General features: G+C 38.8%; 1 protein-coding gene across 3 annotated transcripts in view, besides 1 other annotated feature; it reads right to left on the reverse strand.

The window, feature by feature from the left end:
* Nucleotides 1-22,101, reverse strand: part of ITGA8 (integrin subunit alpha 8) — a 205,969-nt gene that overhangs the window by 84,315 nt on the left and 99,553 nt on the right. For all 3 annotated transcript variants that reach the window (NM_001291494.2, NM_003638.3, XM_011519752.3), the window contains 7 exons: nt 18,246-18,291; nt 15,392-15,499; nt 9,967-10,022; nt 9,409-9,563; nt 8,017-8,154; nt 7,456-7,523; nt 5,940-6,087 (listed from right to left, as the gene is read on the reverse strand). In NM_001291494.2, coding sequence (NP_001278423.1) covers nt 5,940-6,087; nt 7,456-7,523; nt 8,017-8,154; nt 9,409-9,563; nt 9,967-10,022; nt 15,392-15,499; nt 18,246-18,291 — 719 coding nt within the window. The remainder of the gene's footprint in view (nt 1-5,939; nt 6,088-7,455; nt 7,524-8,016; nt 8,155-9,408; nt 9,564-9,966; nt 10,023-15,391; nt 15,500-18,245; nt 18,292-22,101) is intronic.
* Nucleotides 5,382-5,676: an enhancer, noted in NCBI's record as "tiled region #12763; K562 Activating DNase matched - State 8:EnhW, and HepG2 Activating non-DNase unmatched - State 24:Quies". NCBI's record gives its function as "activates a minimal TATA promoter and a strong SV40 promoter by Sharpr-MPRA in K562 cells, with weaker activation in HepG2 cells {active_cell/tissue: HepG2 | K562}" and the evidence as "EXISTENCE:reporter gene assay evidence [ECO:0000049][PMID:27701403]".

Consider the following 22,101-nt stretch of genomic DNA (forward strand, 5'->3'; position numbering starts at 1 on the left):
GTTCGGAAGAGGGTTCTCAATATAATGACCATTTATCCATCTGTCAGCTCTATTGAAATTTTATTTTATTTTTTATTTGTTTTTTTGTCCTTGTCTGTTATCTATTGAAATTTTAGGTAAGAGAATAATATAAAATTTCAGAAATGATCTTCCATTCCCTTCTATTTTATTAACAAAAGCCCAAACCGAAAACCCAAGCAAAAAACATGAAACATTCCCCAGACATCTAGCTAAAGAATTCTGTAGGTAAACCACACACTTTGAGAATATAAGCTTCAAGAAGGCAGAGGTTTTTGTGTCTGTTCTAGTCCTAATGCCTAGAGCAAACTTGGACACAAAGTAAGTGATGGTTCAGGAACAACAGAGTAGAGGCAGCTGACACTTTCTTGTAAAAGAGAAGGCTACAATGAAACAGACAAGTATGCAACCAAGTATAAAACCCTGCCCCCAGAATCCCCAGATACACAGACACATGGAAATATCTGTCCTAGTTATTGAGAAAGGAATGGATCACTAATATTTGGAGGCACAATTTAATACATCCTCTCTTCAAATATCCTGAAAGACAGTTAGTTACGTCGGATGAGCTAAAAAACATCTTTTCAAAAAGGTGGTAATATTCTTTCTTCTCAAAGTTAGGTTTAGTATGTCTTCAGCTCCTTAAGGATCCATAACTAACCGCTAATCATACAGAGATGCTTTGTGTTGGGATTATTAACTCAGTCATGAAAACAGAAAGAACAAAACCCAGAAAAATCTTCCGTAAGTCCTCATATGTCCCTTGAATTACATTCAAGGATTTAGTTTCTATAGTAAATTTTTTTTTTTAAATCTCACCTAAAGGTTAAAAGTTATATGTACAGTTTTTCCCCAGTTTTCTGGAAATAGTTCTTTGACATCACTCAAAGAGTTTTTTCTCCCTTTCACATCCCCTCCACCCTTTTTCTTTTTTTAGGCATTATTTCCTCTCGTTAATAAGAGGAACAATGACTTTTTATGGACATTTCTAGATTATTTTCCTCTGCAGTTTCTGGGACATTCTTGTTCTAATCCATTTATAGCTCTTAGAGTGTTCTTCATTCACTGAAAATATTAACTGTGTACCCACTATTTACCAGGCCTGACAAATGAGACCCCTTGTCCTCACTGAATTCTTAATTATTTTAACAACGTAACAAGTAATTCTAAGCAATTATAACAGCAGTGGAAACACACAATTGCAGCAGAGTTGGGAAATTTTATGATAGGATAAATAAATAGTGACAAAGGAGGACCTGCACATAGATCCAAGCAATCAGAGAAGGCATCCTGGAGGAAGTGGCATCTAAGCTGATGGGGGCAGTGCATATCAGTGGTTAAGAACAGGGGCCCAGCAGACATGGTGGCTGATATCTGTAATCCCAGCACTTTGGGAGGCCGAGGCAGGTGGATCGCCTGAGGTCAGCAGTTTGAGAGCAGTCTGGCCAACATGGTGAAACCCCATCCCTACTGAAAATACAAAAATTAGCTGAGCATGGTGGCTGGCGCCTGTAATCCCAGCTACTAGGGAGGCTGAGGCAGGAGAATCGCTTGAACCTGGGAGACAGAGGTTGCAGTGAGCTGAGATCGCGCCATTGCACTCTGGCCTGGGTGACAGAGTGAGACACCATCTCAAAAAAACAAAACAAAACCAAAAAACAAAACAAACAGGGGCCTGGACCTAACAGTTGATGTTTGAACTTGCTTCGGCTACATAATAGCTGTATAACCTTGCGCATGTTACTTAATTTATTCTTACCTATAAAACAGGGATAGTGACAGCAGCTTCTCTATAAGGCTGTTATAAGAATGAAATACATTCTTTTTTAAAATTACTATTATACTTTAAGTTCTAGGGTGCATGTGCACAACGTGCAGGTTTGTTACATATGTATACATGCGCCATGTTGGTGTGCTGCACCCATTAACTCATCATTTACATTAGGTATATCTCCTAATGCTATTAAAAAAAAAAGAATGAAATACATTCAAGAACTCAGAGAATTACCCAGTTCATAGCAGTTGTTCAGTAAATGTTAGCCACCTCAATTATTATTGTCTCAACTATTATTAAGCCTCAATTTTTATTAAGTCTCAATTATTATTTGAAGGATGAGTAGAAAGAATTGAAAATAAGTAGGATAGATAAAGAGGATGAGGGAGCAGAGTTAGTGTGTTGGGAGGAGAAACGGCTGGAACAAGCTCTCCGTGTCATTACAGGAATGGAAAAGGAACTCAAGCCAGCTGGAAGCGTCAGCATTTAGCGATGAGGCTGAAGAGGTGAGTGGGGGTGATATGATCAAGGGTCTCATGCATTATCTGACGGATTTGGATCTTATCCTCAACGCAATGGGGAGCTAGTGAGGATTTGAAGACAGTACCATGCTCAGATTTGTAATTTAGAAAGATGGATTTTTTTCTAGGTTAGAGGTAAGGAGTTGGCAAGACAAACTAGGAAGACTGTTGCAATAATCTGGGCAAAAGATCATGGCAGCCTGGATGAAGGTGGTGACAGTGGCTGTTGGATGGACTCAGTCCACAATCTCTCTAGTTCATATCCTTCTCTCCATCCAACTGCTACTGTCATCACCCTCATCCAGGCTGGCATCACTTTAGGTATTAGAAGCCAGGGGATGCTGATGTCATTCTTGTACATAGAAAATGAAAGGGAAGCTGGATGTGGTGGCTCACACCTGTAATCTCAGCACTTTGGGAGGCCAAGGCTGGGGGATCACTTGAGGTCAGGAGTTCAAGACCAGTCTAGCCAATATGGTGAAACTGATCTCTACTAAAAATACTAAAATTAGTCAGGCGTGGTGGTGGGCGCCTGTAATCCCAGCTACCCGGGAGGCTGAGGCAGGAGAATCACTTGAACCCAGGAGGCAGAGGTTGTAGTGAGCCAAGATCATGCCTCTGCACTCCAGCCTGGGCAACAGAGCAAGACTCCATAAAAAAAAGGAAAGAAAAAAGAAAATGGAAGGGAAGAGGGGTGTGAGTGGGAAGACCAAAAGTCTGGATACAGACATGCTGAAGGCGAGCTGGCTGTGAGAGACTGAACAAGAGATGATAACAGGTCCCTAGAATCGTTCACAGAGACAGAAAGTAGAATGGTGCTTACCAGGGCCTGGGGAGAGGGAGCAATGGGGAATTATTTTTAAGGGTTGCAGAGGTTCAGTTTGGAATGATGTAAAAGGTCTGGAGATGGACAGTGCTGATGGTTGCACTACCACGTAAATATAATGTCACTGAACTGCGCACTTGAAAATGGCTAAAATGATAAATTATATCTTACATGTATCTTACTACTATCATAATGATGATGATGATGATGATAAATATAAAACATATACACCTTTTTTCACAGAAAAATTAAGGAGAAAAATCACCAAAAGGAAATATAAAGGCTGGCTCAACTAAGGTTTCCTAGAGCAAGAGATGATAAGCATTTACATTTTCTAAAAAGACGAATGTTTTCAACAAAACAATAGCCAACCTTACAATCAGATAATGCCTAATATTTTTCCCCTTGAGGAAAAAATGGTTAAAAAATCTTGAACTGAGTTGAAATCAAAAGGTACACAAACCTCAAACTGTTTCCAAACAAGGAAGAAATTAGAATGTGGCTTAGTCACGTAAAATTCAAAGACTGAGTGAAGTCTCTGCCAAAGGGAAATTGACAGAGAAAAAAGTAGTGAAGGAATCATTTGAGATTGCAGATAATGTCCCTTGTAATGTTTACAGCCAAAGATAGACTCCTAAGTGCTCTCCTGTGTTTTCTATGCAACAAAGCCAACAGTAAACTGGATGTTCTGCTAAAAGAACATTTTAGAATAGGTCCTTTGTTTAGTGAAGTCAGGGGTGGAGTGACAAGAAGGGAATTGAAATAAAAATATGAGTGGAGCTCTGGAATATTAAAAACAAAACATACTCAAGCTTTGTTTTTGTGTTTGTTTATGCGTTATCTGCAGGTAAGTATTTGTAGACGTCATTTTTCTTTCTGTTTTTGCTTGTAGAGATTTTATTATGAAATGACATCTTCAAATCAAAGTGGTTATTAAACACCATTTTTATAAGTTGTGTGTATAATTACTTCCTTTATTCTTATTTATTTTTATCTTAAAGTGACTTTAATAGAGAAATGAAGAGGATTAAAAAAAATCACATAATTGGCGGGGCAAGGATGGCTCGTGCCTATAATATCAGCGCTTTGGAAGGCCAAGGTGGGTGGACCGCCTGACCCCAGGTGTTCAAGACCAGCCTGGGCCATATAGCAAAACCCCCTCTCTACAGAAAATACAAAAATTAGCCAGGCATGGTGGTGCACACCCGTAGTCCTAGCTACTCAGGAGGCTGAGATGAGGGTTTTGCTTGAGCCCAGGAATCGGAGGTTGTAGTGAGCTATGATCACGCTGCTGCACTCCATCCTGGGAAACAGAGCAAGACCCTGTCTCAAAAAAAAAAATACAAGAAAGAAGAAAATGGGATGATTATAAACCACTCACTGGAGAAATTAGGGTTTATACTGATTTTCATGTTTGAAATAACAGGGAAATGAAAGCTGAGTGGAGATTTGCAAATACTCTTGAAAAGAAATGGAATTATTTTTCCCCTCTATCCAACTTCACTGTCAACATGGAAGAGTTAAGAATAATTTAGGACTATTTTTTTAAAAACTACTTTATTAAGATGTGACTGACATACACAAAACAGCAGTACATATTTAATGGATAACATTTGATGACTTTGGAGTTTTTTTTTTCTTATACATTTCTTCAACAGATACTCAAGGATTTTAAATGACTGTTAAAGATGCTCTATCATTACCCATCTAGATTTTTTAATTTTTTGTTTTTTACTAAGAAGATCGTTCAACTAAAACAAACAAAAATCATGAGACTAGAAGTGTGAATAGAGAATTTTATATTCCCTAAGTTTTTTAATGCCTTTAAAATACCAACATCACAACAACAGTTTGTTAACATCTGTTTAGAAGAATTACTTTTCATTACATTATTCAATCATTAAAATGGACAAGGTCCTCAGGGGGTGTGGTATTTGGAAACTAGTAGACATTTAATACATTTAAGCTAAATGAACAATGCTATCAGCAAGTATTTAAGGAGCACCTACTCTACACCTCATCCTATGAAAGGAAACGTGAAACTTGGGCTTTACCCTTAATTGTGAGTTTGTATATTTCAGACACTGAGGGACTTTCTCTGTTATTCTACAATGTATTTTTAATAGTTTTCTAGACCAAGTGATTAAGGACACTGCAGAACTGGAGGATGCTTTGAATGGGAAGATTCATGTTCTGATAAGGAAGGGGAAGACTATAAATAGCATTGTTGTCATTTAAACAAATAGTGGCATTGAGGAATGGCAAATGAGGAAGACCAGGCTGTTCCTGGTCATAATTCTGACAAGGTGGACCAAGAAGAAAGGGAAAGGACCTTGTTTCCCTTCCTGTGTCGGTCCAGGCTTTTATCAGTGCTCATCAGGGATTGGCTGGACCTTCTTCCCTAACCAATAACGAAAACCAGGCTTCCTGACATGTGCTTGAAACTGATAGGAACTCAGTGCAAGGCTAGAAAAGTCAGTGAAGACAGGGAGTTAGCTTGGGAGTTTAGCTTTTTGATCGCATTGGTAAGCTTCTTCTTTCAGCCAGTCTTGTTCTCTTTTTTGCTTTAGCTCTCAATCTTTGGCCAATCTATCTTTGCACTGTGGCAAAGAAAGACATTAATACTGTGTAAGCCCACCCCTGCTTTGTGGCTCATTGCTGTTATGATTTAACAAAAGAAGGTATCATTTTGCTGTCTTTCATTAAGGAAGAAACTCTCAGCTAAGATGGCCCTTCTTAACATTTACTTGACTTCAAAAATATACCTAGCTCTTGACTTCAAACAATTTGCAGGCATTACCTTGTTGTTGCGTTCGATTCCAACATAATCTGCCTCTTCTGGTATCATTACAAAGAGTTCAGCTTCATATGCTCCTTCCCCTTCATTTCTTGCATTTATTATGAGCATAAGGTGATTTTCATCTCCAATGATTACCTGATGCTTATCTCTAAAAATGCAGTTTAAAAAGAAGGATTAGGTACTCTACTTCTTGGCTTCGTGAATATTTTATTTAAGGATTTATAGAGGAGGAAAAGAAAAATGGCAAGTGCAAAAAAAGAAGATGGACCATCATGAAGAGATGGTAGGAAGAGGCAAGAGAATCATCTCTGGGTAAAAAGGGCAGGAAAACACCCAGTAGTGTGTTGGTAAATGTTTAACAACCAGTTCTCAAAAAAAAAAAAAAAAAAAAAAGGATTGATTTATAGCATTTTCAGATTCCAGTGGTGTAAATCCATGAACCGTGGTCATTTTCAAGCTACCAACATATTTAACAATCTACCAACAAAATTACTGCAAATTTAACATTTCACTTACAAGCCAGAATGAAGCAGCTTCAGCACTTCACTGAAAACATACATTAGGAAGAAAATGGGCAATGGAATAAAAGGAAGAGAGGTGGTTTAGAAAGTAAGAGGGATAGATTAATGCAAAGGAAATAATGAGAGGGAAGAAGCAGGCAGATACAATAAGATCTTAAATCACTGGTAGAGGACTTCAAGGTATTTTGAAGACATGCAGTTCACTTAGAACTGCAAATCAAGCCAATAGTTGGAAATGCCTACTCCACTTTTTAACCTTACTTAAAGCGATTGCATTTGAAGTTGATAAATTATGAAATTTGGGGGAAGTCCCTCTGAGAAGTTACCAAGCAGATTCCAAACACTGGCAGTGAGATAGTTCCTGGGAGGGAAAGAAACACAAATCTGTTTCTTGACCACAGAATGTTTTACATCCTAGTCCATGTCTTCCCATAACAGAATACAGTGCAATTTCCAGTGCTGGAATGGGGGCGTCCATTACTGGCAACTGTGAAGCCCTTTGATTCGTTTCAATTTTGTGACACCTTCTGCTTTACTCCATAGAGTGCTATTTAGGTTTATTTATTCAATAAGTTAAAATTAATTTTGTTTTGACAGTTTTAAGGATGGCTTTGAGTCATGGGGTGCTGAAAAAAAGTTTGGTTGAAGGTGTAGATGGAACCTGCCTGTCTGAATCCTTTGTCTACTTGACTGAGGCAAGTAAACATAACCCGAGCCACCCCATCAATGAGTTTACTTTCAACAAAAACATTTTTTTCCCCACTTTTGCTGAAAGATGAAACGACCCAGGCAAAATCTTAGGGTGTGTCATTTGACACCAATGACAAATAACTGACCCAAACCACAGGCTAACCCAAAGTGTAGCCAAGCTCAAGAATTTCACGCAGCATAGTTTTTGGTAGTTATTGGAAGTGTATACTTTCTCCAGAGAACCTTTACATAAATACCTGTAATTCCATTAGATAGAAAGTACACATTTAGTTATTTAAACTTACGGTCTAGCCGACAGCTTCAAGTCAGGAACACACAGATTGTCTTCTCCACAGTCCACCAGAATGTGAGCCTGTGTTGTATAAACGCACGTCAGGAACAATCTAGGAAAATCTGATTCACATCCTTTTTCTTGAAAATTCTGAATGGTGCCACAAACGGAACCAGAGCTTTCCTCTCACTATGCATGACTCTACCCAAGCCAATAGCCTACATTTCACAGTGACCTCCCAATACAGGCTACTTTACATAATAGCCCAATTCCAATGCACTCTGAAATATCTGCAAAGAATGCAACTCTGCCTATGGCTTGAGGATTACAGGCTGTATTGCTTCCATTACAGCCACATTTTGAACAAATTAAATCTTGATTGCACAAGAGGAAAGGCTTCCGAAAAACACAATCATGCAGTGTTTCAGGAAACATGGTAGGAAAACTCCCAAATGTTCCATGTCTGCATGCAGAAGTAAAAATGAAAGGAGCTGGCTTTAGTCTTAAAGCCATGAGAACAACACCCCAGAGAGCTTGCTTGAGAAAATGCCGTCAAAGACTGTGAAGGACTTACCTGTTCACTAACAATGTTTTCTCTGTAGTAGTTCAATATTGGTTTCACTTCCAGGCCTTCTTTAAAGGTGGATTCGTCCAAACTGTAATTCAAACTAATGTTGATTGGAGATAATTTATCTCGGAATTCAGTTTCATCCTAGGAAAAATAATCACAAACTCAACAGAGGCTCCATGAAATAGCTGCAAGATGTCAGTCTGCAAAAGTCAGGCAACACTGGAATTTACTCAATGAAAGTGAATGATGAAACAATTATCTTTGCAGCAGGCTTAGATGGAGGCTGATTTATGTGGTATATAGTAGCCAGCATACCTAATATATGTGCAGTGATGAAATCATTTAGAGCTGCGGCTTCATTGAAATACGCTTCTGGAGCCAATCTTTGGGTTCTCCAGACCTTCAACAACTCATGCAGAACTGGTCAAGTTGCAAAGTAAAAGATTACACGTGTATATCATAAATGTCACAAAAAACATCATGAATTTGGATTTTTATTTTCGTGAGGTTGCCAGAATTTATGAGTTCTCTCTTGGGGCTCAGAAGAAGAAAACATCTTGATTCTCTTCCTCTCATCATCTTTTTAAGCCCTTGCCTGCATGAACTTCAGAACACCTTCAGGATATTTGAAGTTCTTTTGGAAAAAGAAACAGAACTCCTTTAGTAGAGAGGGGTAAGCACCAAACAGCAAGCACTAAACACACGGTGGATATGTCACCCTTCAATTGTTTGCCAATCAAGGGTCAGGTATCCAACTTTTCATTCTTGAGTGTGATTGTGAACCTGTGATCTTCCCTAGGGTGGTCCTTGCTAACTAAGTCCCCTAATGGAAAAGAGAAATTGAGACAGTTATCACAACCTCACAACCGGCAAGGTGAAGATAGGTAATTGTGTTATAAATATTTTTACTTTAAAATTTCGGTAGGTTTTGAAGTCATTGTAAAAAGACATTACTTTAAATAAGATAATTATAAGTTACTTCTAATAAAAGCTTTGAATGCCTAAATATTTTCCTGAATTGGCTCTGAAACATGCATTGATAAAATCTAACAAGACATACTCACATAGGAGAAAAATTCACATAAACTGTGTTGCACTTTTATGTATTTTGGGGAGGAGGTGGGTAGAAATGAAAACCATGTGAGCTGAATGCCATTATAAAGATTTTGATCAAAATGAAAAGAAGCCTTAGAAATTAATAGCAACACATCATCAGGTTAGTTGAAGTCAGGGTCAAGAGGAGAGTATTTGACCCTAAAATAAAGTTTCCTGCTATGAAAATGAAAACAGACAGATGGGGGTCTATGCAGACAAACATGATGGTTAAATGGAGAAAAATGGTTGGAATTTGGATATGAAGGAGAGAGGCCAGAGAAGTCTTTCTGGAATACTTACTCGAAGGTAAACGATGAAATCCTGGCACTGGTGGGATTTCTGCCTTTTTATCACAAGAGGGAAGACGCGATGAGCCTGATGGTTATCAAGGAAGAGCGTCCGTTTAATAGCTCCTTTCTGTTTCAGGGAATCTAATTGCACCTCTGCCATCAAGACTAAAGGACAGAAGTAAAGTAGAGAAAAAGTATTCAGTGAACACAGTGCTCTATCAGAGAGATGAATTTCTATTTCAAGTTGCTTATTCAGGAAACAGTTCTTTTTCATAGTTGAGACCAAGCATGATAAATGAGCTGGAAAAATTGTATAACATACTCTCCAAGCTACAAATGTTTTATAATGGTTTTATAAAAGTTGTCATTTTCCCTACAATTATATGTTCTTATAAATAATAGTATTACCAAGTATTGAAGTAATATTTATTAGAAGGTTCCATATATGCAACAGATATCTTGGTATTCCTCAAGGGTTCTTTCATTTTTTTATGGTCTGTGCAGAGAAATGGTTACTGTTCAACTTTCTTAGTATACCATAAGAATGTAAAAATGAAAACATGCTTACCTATTGTGTTTGCAATGCTCTGGCCTGTGACAGATGCACATACTCTTAAAGAAAAGCTATAGAAAATAGTAGTAATTTATTGGTTAATAAAGTTTTGAATCTAAAGTAGAAGCCTTCCTTTACCTAATCCCAGATAACGAATATCATTTTCTCTATATATTTCTAATTACACACACACACACACACACACCCACACACACACCCCTTCTACCAATTGATCTCAACACTAATACAATCAAGACAAGTGACATTATTATTACATGGAAGGTAATACTGGAAAATAGTACAGGAGGTTAACTGATTTAATCAGTTGCTCAATTAGTCAATTACTTGTTGCTTTTATTCAATGAATACAGGTCAGTATCTTCCATGTGCCAGGGAGGGAAGAATTAGGCAGCAGAGCAAGAGGATAGCCAGAGGTAAAATCTGGAGGTGAGTAAGAATCTGGACCCATTTGAGGAAACTGAAGAAATTCAGTGTAGTCGGGGCACTGAGCAAGATGGCAAAGTTGTAGGAGGCAAGGCTGGCTTGGTGGATCGGTGAGGAACAGGGCTTTGAAAGTCATGCTAAAAAATGCAGATTTAATCTTCAGAAGCATGGAGCACATGGTATGCTTAACTTAAAACACCCACTCTGCTTGGAAGGAGATGAAATTTGGCAGAACCTTGCTACAGTTGGGGTAAGACTGGAGGTTGAGACGAGAAGAGGGAGGGGAGAAAGAGAAAACAGGAAGTTTAGCATGGCTGTCTCAAGCTAGGTGGGCACAATGATATAGGAATAAAGACAATCAAGAGAGGGCAGATGTCCATGAGAGACACTTTGGAGTTGTGCCTTGAACACACCATCACTACCATTCAAGGCAATGTCTGCACTGGCTTATAGGATGATCTGCACTTGGCTTTGGTCTGTGGCTACAGATGGAATGAGAGACGACTGACTCCCTGGCTGCCTTTGTTGAATGAAAGTGCTCACCTCTCCCTGAAAAATTCCAAGCCCTAACAGCTATCACTAGAGATGGGGCCTTTTCACATTTCTAGGAAAGTGAAAATATAAGAAAATACTTAAGTATGGTTTAATGACAGTCATAAACTTTTACCAGTAAAATACTATAGTATGATGTGGATATTTCTACAGAATTCAAAGGGAGTAAATAATCCCCAATCATACTTTAATTATGTGTCAGCTTCCTGTGTCAAATATAATGAAAAAGTGTCACATCTGGGATTCATCTATCTGCTGTGACCTCAGTCAATGTCTCCCCTCAGGGTAAATAATTTGCCACATACCATTAAGCCAAAAGTTTCCTGAAATGTCTACGCTATTACAAGTGTTTATTCCGCTTCCCCAGAGAAATCACTGATTCCAACTTGCTTCTGCTTCAATTAGAATTATTCAAGAAAGATGAAGAGTTAATCACATCTTTCAATTTTGTAGTAAGCCTGGCTTTCAAAATTAGAATTTTTCTGTATCCAACCTTTTTGAAAGTATTTTGGTGTATGTTCAAATCAGCCAATGATCTTTTTTTCCATTCATCTTTAACTGTGTAGACCAAAGCCATTAGCTTTTATAAAATAAATTCCTATTTGTAATGACATTATCAACATATATACATTAAAATCATTTTAGATACAGTATTTTTAATACAAACAATTCAAAATAACTAATTTTTAAAAAGGAATAAAGTTATACAAATGAACATTTTTTTCCTTATGGGATGGTATATAGTTGATAAATGATGTTATCAGCTAAAGGGTTACTATTTATTTATGAATTACCTGTCAGTATAAATCTCTATTTCTTTCTTAGCTCACTCTTTCTGTTTTCTGAATATCATTACCAAATGGATGACTTTAACTTTTTTTTCATACAAGTGTAATATCACTGCTACAATGTACTGAATTCTCAATAATAGCACTCCAACCTAAACCTGCCAGTTAATAGATTACTTTAGTGGAAAAGAGTCTGTGAAGTCATAATTTTTCAAACTCTGTGTTATGATCTAAAGAAAATTTCAAGATTTTATAGTAGTGGGCTGATGTGTTCATGCTGAATTTAGGAAAACATACTATATTATATATAAGCACACATACATCACAGGTCATATGGAGCATAGAATTAGGATCACTTGCAGGCCTACAGCTAATTACAAAGTATACTTGGGTCATTAGGGAAAGCTGTAAACTTTCATTAAATTAGAATTAAAATTTCAAACTAGAAATATTGGTCATTTTCAGTATGGCCCATTAGTCTAAATAGGTCTGATTGGAACAAAAAAACCCATCAAATCAATCCAAGTCCCTTATTACATAAATTCTAAATTAAACTGTTTGTGGACAGTGCTTTTGATATGGCCAGAAGGCAGGGTGATACACTACATGATCTTCTGAGGCTAGTCCCAACCCAAGCACGGTTGGAATAATGATTCTGCGTTGTGACTGTGCTCACAGCTGTCTATGATGAAGAGAAAATGAGATAAATGTGAAACACGATTTAAAAGTACAAAGCAATTCATTTTACATTCTCATCAGTTTTCACTCCTATTTCAGTGATAGCAAATAGCAGGTTTCACACAGTCACTCACATCTGACAAGTTTTTTTAATCAGGTTGGACAACTGGGTCGTTACTCACTTTTACATTTCTAAAATGAAGTATTTCGCTAGTTTTTCTTTTTGTAATTGGTTAGTCACCAGTTATATTAATATTTATTGAGCTGGCTTTTTTCCCCCTTTTTCTAACTTAGAAATACCAATTAAAGATAGATACTTTATAAAACTACACCGCTGTTTGAAAGACACAGAAATCCACATCGATGGAAGTGAAGAACTATTTGCCAAGTAGAGTTTATGTGATAGTTTTCAGATGTATGATATAAAGTTATATCAAATACAGACACAAATAACAGCAGAGAAAATCAACGGAGACCTTTCAATCATTTTGGAAAAACTAAGCTAAGTTCCTAAAATAAAGAAAAAAGAGAATCAAAGAAACACATTCTAGACTGAACCAGCTGTTAACTTTCTGTCTTCTGAGGCTCTGAGGCACCATTCACAAATTTTGCATGTGAAAATAAGACTTCTTCCAGAAAAATGTATGCAATAGAAACAAATATAATTGTAAAGGGATATACATTTGTCCACATAACAAATTGCACTTTATCTTAATAATATGATTAAATGCAGTAAGAAAATGGCTCATGAAAAGAAAGACATTTTCTTGTTAAAAAGTAATATTCTTTCCATAAAACCAAACAGAACTCTTTTTTTTTTTTTTTTTTGAGACAGAGTCTCCCTCTGTCACCCAGGCTGGAGTGCAGTGGTGCGATCTCAGCTCACTGCAAGCTCCGCCTCCCAGGTTCATGCCATTCTCCTGCCTCAGCCTCCTGAGTAGCTGGGACTACAGGTGCCCGCCACCGCGCCCAGCTAATTTTTTGTATTTTTAGTAGAGACAGGGTTTCACCATGGTCTCGATCTCCTGACCTCGTGATCTGCCCGCCTTGGCCTCCCAAAGTGCTGGGATTACAGGCGTGAGCCACCGCGCCCGGCCCCAAACAGAACTCTTAATCTGGTTAAAAAAAAAAAAAAAAAACCACACACTTCAGTCTTATACAAATATGCATTAAACTAAAAACCCTTAGAATCAATTATCTAGTTCAAAACAACAACATTCTATATCAGAGTGTACCACATGTGCTTAAAGGAATTCAGCCTAGAAGTCCATTCTGTTATGAAGGTGTGAACATGAGCCTATTTGGGGGAAATACTGAAGTTTTAATACTCATGAACAAGTAGCAACTCTCACAGTTCATTGTTCATTTAATCATGCAGGGGTAAGGATAAACGCTGGCTCTCTGACATATTTTCTCAGATCAGGTTTTCATTATACTATTTTATGGTTTTAACCAAATGTGCCCAGGGCATTTTCCAACTCTTTTCAAGAGCAGTTAAAGAAGAGGATGCTCTCCCGCCACACTCCCCAGCTCCCAGCAATAGGATGTTTTTCAAAGAATTCTTCAGGGTCCTCTAAGTCCCCACCCTCCACCCTCAAAAGCTTTGACTCCAGTATGAACTCCTGTCAAAAGGCCATCAACAACATGTTAAAATTGGCTGGAAATAACTTCTCTGGGTCAAGAGTGGTTAGTTCTGCAATTCTGACATTCTCAGAAACCAAAAATACTGTCTGAGTTAGACCACGTCTCCTGAAAAATAAGGGCAAAATATTAAACACCCCAAGGATTTGTTGATCTTTCAGAGGGTATACCCTGAAGGTATTAACCAACATAGTGACTTCTAACTCTTGAGGACCTACATATTGGGAAACAGTGGTATTTTCTTGAACTGTGTTATAGTCAAGTTCCATCTTGTACTCCCTCCAGATGGCTGACAAAATTCAGAAGGAACACTTTCAGGAGTCATATCAGCCAGCTTCTGAAAGTACAAGCAAAGCCTCCATCATCCAGCAAAAGGAATAATTCAATCGCTATTCTTAATGACAGACAAAAAAATACAGCTTATGGCACAAAAATCTTGTATAATGTGTTCCTTCTGTCTAGCTGTGCATGCTAAGTTACAAAACTGGTATCTGTTGTCAGCATAGAAAACCCAGTAAATTAACCCAGTAAATTGACTAGTTAGAAATGGGACATCGGCTGGGCATGGTGGCCCACGCCTGTAATCCCAGGACTTTGGGAGGCCAAGGCAGGTGGATCACCTGAGGTCAGGAGTTCGAGACCAGCCTGACTAACATAGTGAAACCCCGTCTCTACTAAAAATACAAAAATTAGCTGGGAATGATGGTGGGTGCCTGTAATTCCAGCTACTCAGGAGGCTGAGACACGAGAATCGCTTGGACCTGGGAGGTGGAGGTTGCAGTGAGCCAAGATTGTGCCACTGCCCTCCAGCCTGGGTGACAAAGCAAGACTCCATCTCAATAAATAAAAAATAAATAAATAAATAAATAAATAAATAAATAAACAGGACATTATATGTGCTTGAAAAGCAGTATCTATAAGCATATGCCAAAATGTAAGAGTCTAGGTATTTTGTTATATTTTTACCTTGGTTAGTGTTTATTTTAGTACACCAAGAATCTAAGAGCTATCTCCAAGATTTGTTTGACTGGGAATTTCCCCAAATGTTTTTATACTTCTCATCTCACCTAGAGCCTATAGATTAGAGAAGTAGCCTTTGAATGGTAAGTCGATAGCCAAAGATCAGCATCATATCATAGGTTCTCTTGAAAGACTAACTCCTTGCTACTCAAACTTCGGCCACAGACCAGCAGCAGCAGCATCTCTTGAAGCTTTTTTCGAGAAATGCAAAATCTAGGCCCTACCCCAGACTTACTGAATCCAAATCTGTATTTTTCACAAGATACCCAGGTGATGTGAATTCACATTGGAGTTTGAGAAGCACCGGACTAACTCACCAGGCAGCAGATGTCATAGAGTCTGGAACCTGGCAAGTTTTATTTTCAAGATTGATAATCATTGGGTGCAGCAGAAGCTGGGCATCTACAGTCACAACCGGTCTTGCTCTGCGGGGAGAAAATGCAGGGTTTGTTTAAATAAAACACAAGGGTGATAGGCAGGCAGAAGCCCACTTCACTGCATACTGAACTCAGTAGTAGACAGAATACTCCACAGGCCATTGCCAACGTTCTCAGCATTTGTGCCAAGAATTTTGCTCACTGCATGAACAGCTGGGTATCACACTCAACTAATTACCTCAAAACACATCTGGAAGCACACAAATACAAATAAAGAGTGCTGTGGGTCTGTCAAGCAAAGTTGCGTACACAACCTAATTTCATTATGAAGTGGGCCTCCGGTATTATGGCAATATTGCTGTGAAATATTGCTCTGCCACCTGCTAGCATATCTACATCTGTATCTGATGAAATACATCATCTTACAGCCATTCGTATTTGTGAGTACTTGAAGTTTGCAACTTTTCATTGATAATTTTAATTTTGTGAGTACTTGAAGTTTGCAAATTATCATTGATAATTTTTAAATTTCTGTTGATAGTTTTCAAGCTGAGCTTTGCAAATTTAGCTAAATACACGAAGCAGGGTTTGCAGAATAATTCTGTACATCAGCCAGAGAAGTGGTTCTCAATCCTGACTGCACAATGTAATCACCTAAAGAGCTTTAAAACAAATTCTATGCCCAGGCCCTGCCACACCAACTGAACCAGAACTTATGGGGTAAGGATCAGACATTGGAATTTTAAACAAACTCTCCAGGTGATTATAATATGTAGCCAAATTTGAGGAGAGAGACTGACAGAGTGTAAGTAAACTCAATTGCAGCCACCCAGATGAGGATAACAAAACAAAAAAGTATTAATAAATCATGGGGGAAGGGAATAGAGCAGATTTTAAAGCTTGGTTCCAAGATATGATCGTTGGAAGCCAAAGTCCTCAAATGACAGGGAGAAATGAAGCCATGTTGGATAAGTTTCCCCCCAACAAGAAGAAGGGCTGTGTCTTGGGGCTGAATGGGTTTACAGCACTGCTTTAAACAATAAGCAGTGGGCCTGATGGGATTCCTCCTAAGTTCCTTCAAGCCACTTCTCTGTATTTTGTTACATAATTTTGCTTTCAATACCGTGTTAGTTCCACTCCTTGGAAAAGCAGGTGATAAAACGGAACTAGATATGCAAGAGATATACTGGGATCAAACACTTATGAGGAAAAGTGGGGAGATGGAGGGGGCTGGGAGTTCTGATCCCTGGAAGGATCAAGGGAAGGACAGAGGACTGGGTAAGAAAGTTCTGGCCTGGGCAATGGAGAGTCCTTGAGCCAAATTTGCCCGTGAGAGGAGTTCCATGTCTTGCAAAAACAGGCCTGCATTTGTGTTCTTGTTGTGTCCGCTAATTGGCTGGGAGCAGCTCATGGAAAACAAGGCCTTGGCATGAAAGTGGCGGATTGGAAGCGGAGCAGCTGAGCCCTGTGCCCATTCTGCTCCAGCAGCTCTGAGTGGTGCACTCCACAGCCACCGCAAACGCAAGCCCCATACTTCAGACACCTTGAGGGTTTTGACTGTCTGATTCTCTAGAACCTTAAGTGGGATATGGCTGGTACAAGTCAACCCTCTCTGAGTTTGTCTTGGGACTGACGAAGAAGAAAATCTTACCTATTTGAGGAAACTTAACCTTAGAATATCTCTGGAAGCCGATTAGGTTAGCACTATGCACCTAGTACACCCAGGTATGCCCTCGGCCTTTTGTCTTGATATCCTGACCTAGTGTCTTGAATTCTCATAAGTCATATGACCTTTTATGTTTGTTTATTTTTGAGATGGAGTCTCACTCTGTCTTCCAGGCTGGAGTGCAGTGGCACAATCTCTGCTCACTACAACCTCGACCTCTCAGGGTCAAGTGATTCTCATGCCTCAGCCTCCCGAGTAGCTGGGATTACAGGCGTGTACCACCATGTCCGGCTAATTTTTGTATTTTAAGTAGAGATGGGGTTTTGCTATGTTGACTAGGCCAGTCTCAAATGCCTGACCTCAAGTGATCCGCCCACCTCGGCCCCCCAAAGTGCTGGGATTATAGGCATGAGGCACCGTGTCCTGCCATAAAACTTTTTTTTTTAAAAGAAGCTAAAGTTGAGCACCACCTCTCTCCCAGTTACTATTCTGTGTACACCACACGCATATTCTCACTGAATGCTTTGAACAAAGGTAACGTTATAAATGTTGTTTTTATCCTTCTTTTACAGATCAGAAATCTGAAACTCTGAAAGTGATAAGAACTTGCCCAAGATTACAAATAAGTCAGTGTATGGAATGTCCAGGCTTGGAATCCATAGCTGTTGTATTTGAACTGTTTTCAATACTTGCCTTTGGAGGCTACCAACTCTTGGAATGTTCTATTCCCTAACTTAGTGTCCAGTTTGATTATGGAAGCCAGGATAAATAGTAACATTCTTCTACCCTGCACCGCTTCTTTACAAGTGAACATTTCAATGCATTTCCAAAGCAAAGAGAATAAATCAAATTCAGTAACGTCTAAAAAGTGGGTCATTTTATAAGATCTGCTTCATTTCATATCTTATTTAATGTTATGTTCATAAAATCTGGAAGTTTGGTCATGCAGTATGAGAGTAAAAATGCAAAGGAAAGAAAGAGTGAGAGCAAAAAATACCTCTAGACTTTAAAAAGAGCATCTAAATATTCCCCAGAATAAATCGTTGGAATGCTCTCTTTAAGGCAGAACTAACAAGAAAATGTATTTGAAACAATGAGAAAAACATTTGAATACTACCAACCACATACCTGTAAACAGCGACTTTTCCTGTTCCAAATGCACCCACAATCAAATCTTAAAAAGACAAAAACACAGAACACATGCGTGAATCGTATAGAAACAATTTACTAAGTTCAAAATCGTAAGTAGCACATAGAATACCCCTACATGCTGATGGTACGAGAGCCACAAAATTAGAAGAGAAATCACACCTTTCTTAAGGCATTTTGGAAAGGATGTTGGAGCTTCACTATAACCAACTTAATAAAACGTCCATCAGTGGATCTCAAACCCTTCTGTGCTTAGGAAGGTCAATTTCTAGAAACTCATCATCGCATCACTTTTCCTATCCTTCAGGTTCAAGGCATATACACCCAGGGAAGGAAAAGGGGAAAGTCAGCTGCTTAGTGTCTGCTAGGTACCAGGCTCATTACACATTTCGTGTTATCACTCTCACCAGTGAATACCCTATGAGGAAGGGTATTAACCCAGAAGTGGAACGTTCTGATTGTCATTTTGACACAACCGTTTGCTCTTTACAAATAGTATGGGTGGTGAGTATACTTTTGGCAAAGCAATCAGTAGTATATAAAATAACTAACATATTATAATGATCTGAAATGACAACAGCAATCCTAATAAATAGCACATGGAACAGCACTATATGCCAGGAGGCCTTTTAAAGGATTTCCTTTGAATGATTCCTAACAAGAAGGTAGGAGGTCTTTATTATTAGCACAATTTTGCAAATGAGTCAATTGAGACTTAAGAAGGCTAAACTGTAAATTTCCTAACATTCACACAAGTAGGTAAGTGGTGGAACTGGTTGACTGCAGTGGAGCAATCCTGGACTAGGTAAGGGGGAATGGTCACAATTATTTAGGTGATTGGCTAACATAGAGGTCAAACTGTCTGTTTTTTTTTTTTCTTTTTTGACAGAGTCTCGCTCCATCGCCTAGGCTGGAGTGCCGTGGTGCAATCTCGGCTCACTGAAACCTCCATCTTCAGGGTTCAAGTGATTCTCCTGCCTCAGCCTCCCAAGTAGCTGGGACTACAGGCACCTGCCACAACGCCTGGCTGATTTTTTGTATTTTTTGGTAGAGACGGGGTTTCACTGTGTTAACCAGGATGGTGTCGATCTCCTGACCTCATGATCCACCCGCCTCGGCCTCCCAAAGTGCTGGGATTACAGGCATGAGCCACTGCACCTGGCGGGCTTTTCTTAATCTCATTTACAGTGGCTGTCCCTAGTAGAAGCAATCAAACACAAATAAAAATGACAATGGCTAAATCTGCAGAGTAAAATTTAGATGTAAGAAAACTGGACCTCCATGGAACCAACCTAAGTGTCCATCAACAGTGGATTGGATAAAGAACATGTCGTATATAAACACCATGGAATATTATGTAGCCATAAAAATGAATGAAATCATGTCTTTTGCAGCAACATGGATGGAACTAGATGCCATTATCCTAAGTGAACTCAGAAACAGAAAATCAAATATTGCATGTTCTCACTTATAAGTGGGAGCTAAAACAATGAGTACACATAGATGTAAAGATGGTAATGATAGCCACTGGGGACTCCAAAATTGGGGAAGGAGGGAGGGAGATAAAGGTTGAAGAATTACTCACGGAGTCCAGTGTTCAATATCTGAGTGATGAGTATGCTAGAAGCCTAAACCCCTTTATGCAATATACTCATGTGACAAACATACACACGTATCCCCTGAATCTAAAATAAATTTAAAAAAAGAAAAAGAAAACTGGACTTGGTAGAAATAAGGGCCACAGAAGAAGACTTACAACAGTTGAAACTATAATTGGTTAATTCTAGCACAACGCGAATGAAAATAGAAAAACAAAAAACAAAGGTGGAGGGAGGTCCTATTTGGCCACTCCATATGGAAAACTAAGTCAGGAATTAAATTGGTGTAATAGAATTTGTACAGAAAAATGATTTACAGCCATATTCCCTTTGGCACTCACCTTTTGCACATGTGATGTTGAGTGTCAACTTGATCAGACTGAAGGATGCAAAGTATTGTTCATGGGTGTGTCTGTGAGGGTGTTGCCAAAGGAGATTAACATTTGGGTCAGTGGACTGGGAAAGGCCGACCCACCCTGAATCTGGTGGGCACCATCTGATCACCTGTCAGCACGGCCAAAATAAAAGCAGGCAGAGGAACGACAAAAGACTAGATTGGTTCAGTCTTTTGGACTCCATCTTTCTCCCATGCTGGATGCTTCCTGCCCTCGAACATCAGACTCCAAGTTCTTCAGCTTTGGGACTCGGACTGGCTTCCTAGCTCCTCAGCTTGCAGACAGCCTATTGTGGGACCTCACCTTGTCATCGTGTGAGTCAATACTCCTTAATAAATTCCCCTTTATATGTTCAGCAATCCTATTAGTTCTGTCCCTCTAGAGAACCCTGACTGATACACTGTACATGTGAACAGAGAGAGACTGCAGATGATTCTCCCCTTGAGGGCTTAGTGTCCCTGAGAATGGCTTTTAGTCAGTTACAGGTAGGAATTAGAAAGTGAGTGGCCCAGCTTCCTTATCAGTCAAGTGGGATAGCTGAGGTTTGTTCTTTGACTTTGCTTTCCTCAGCCAGGTGGGGCCCTGATTGCCCGTAGTGGCAACTGGCTTGATGATGATCTTTATTGCATTCTTCTTTTCCATGTCTCTCTTCTCTACCTTTACCAGTATTTCTCAGGATTTCTTAAATGCACTGCTTGTTTTCTCATCTTTGTCTTAATGCCTGCTCTGGGACAACCCAACCTAAGACACAATAATACTTGTTAAAATTTAAAAAAAAATGATCTGAAAGTTCTCCAGGTCAAAACCACTGTCAGATGTCTTAGGTTTTATGGACACAGAATCAGATTCAGTTATTAGACTTGGAACTTGACTCCAGAGCTCCATATTTAAAAACATGTGCATGCTGATGTTCAAATAAGTCGAACAGACGTCATCTAAAGAGCTCCATATTCATGGCATTAAAGAACACATTAAGCAAAGGGCTACACCTTGGCCACCTAGGACTCATGGAATAAAACATTCTTTTGTAAGGGTTTAAATCTCTGAAGCCAGATGCCGAAGTTTCTAAGTTTACCAGTTTTTAAAATTATAATGATAAATTCTATCAGAATTTCAATTTTTCAACTATGTTTACATGTATTCTTTCTGTTACATTGTCTCTTCTAACAGATTGGTACTTTTTTTTTCTAAATCAGAGAAAAAAAGAGCTACCGATTTGAAGAAACATGAGCTCTGTTCTTCCTGTGTAATTACAAACTCCAATATTTAGACAAGTGTAACACAGGTGGCCCTGGCCTGAATCCATATCTGTTGACATGACACCAGATAGGAGAGCTCTGTTATGAAAACTGATTCACGATGAATTATGTGCTTTGTTCTTGGCCCCAAATAAGGTGAAATATTTATTTAATAAGATTAGACATTTTATAAATAACAGGCGAATTTTAAGAATTGATTCTCTGGAAATGGCAAAGAAAATAAGACTGTAAGCCCTTCCAGGGCAGGAATCTTTACGTTTGCACATCCCCAAATATTCATGGAATGGTATGGGTTGAAATAAATGAAGAAAGAAATAACCTTTGCATGCATGTTACCAGGCACAGTGCCAGATGCAGAACAGAGACTTCATAAATGCCTGATTAAATAGGGAGCATAAGTAATAATGTAATAATAAACTAAAGATACTAGAGATGAAGAAAATGAAACAATTAAAACCGACTAATGTCAACTGCAGCTAAATTCTGCTGGAGTTTTGCATGTATACTTGAAGGTGTTGAGATACACACACACACACACACACACACACGTTCCAGATTCTAGAAAGTAATATAAAGTCTCCAT

Source organism: Homo sapiens, chromosome 10 (genome assembly GCF_000001405.40).
Source record: "Homo sapiens chromosome 10, GRCh38.p14 Primary Assembly".
Classification (NCBI taxonomy): Eukaryota; Metazoa; Chordata; class Mammalia; order Primates; family Hominidae; genus Homo; species Homo sapiens.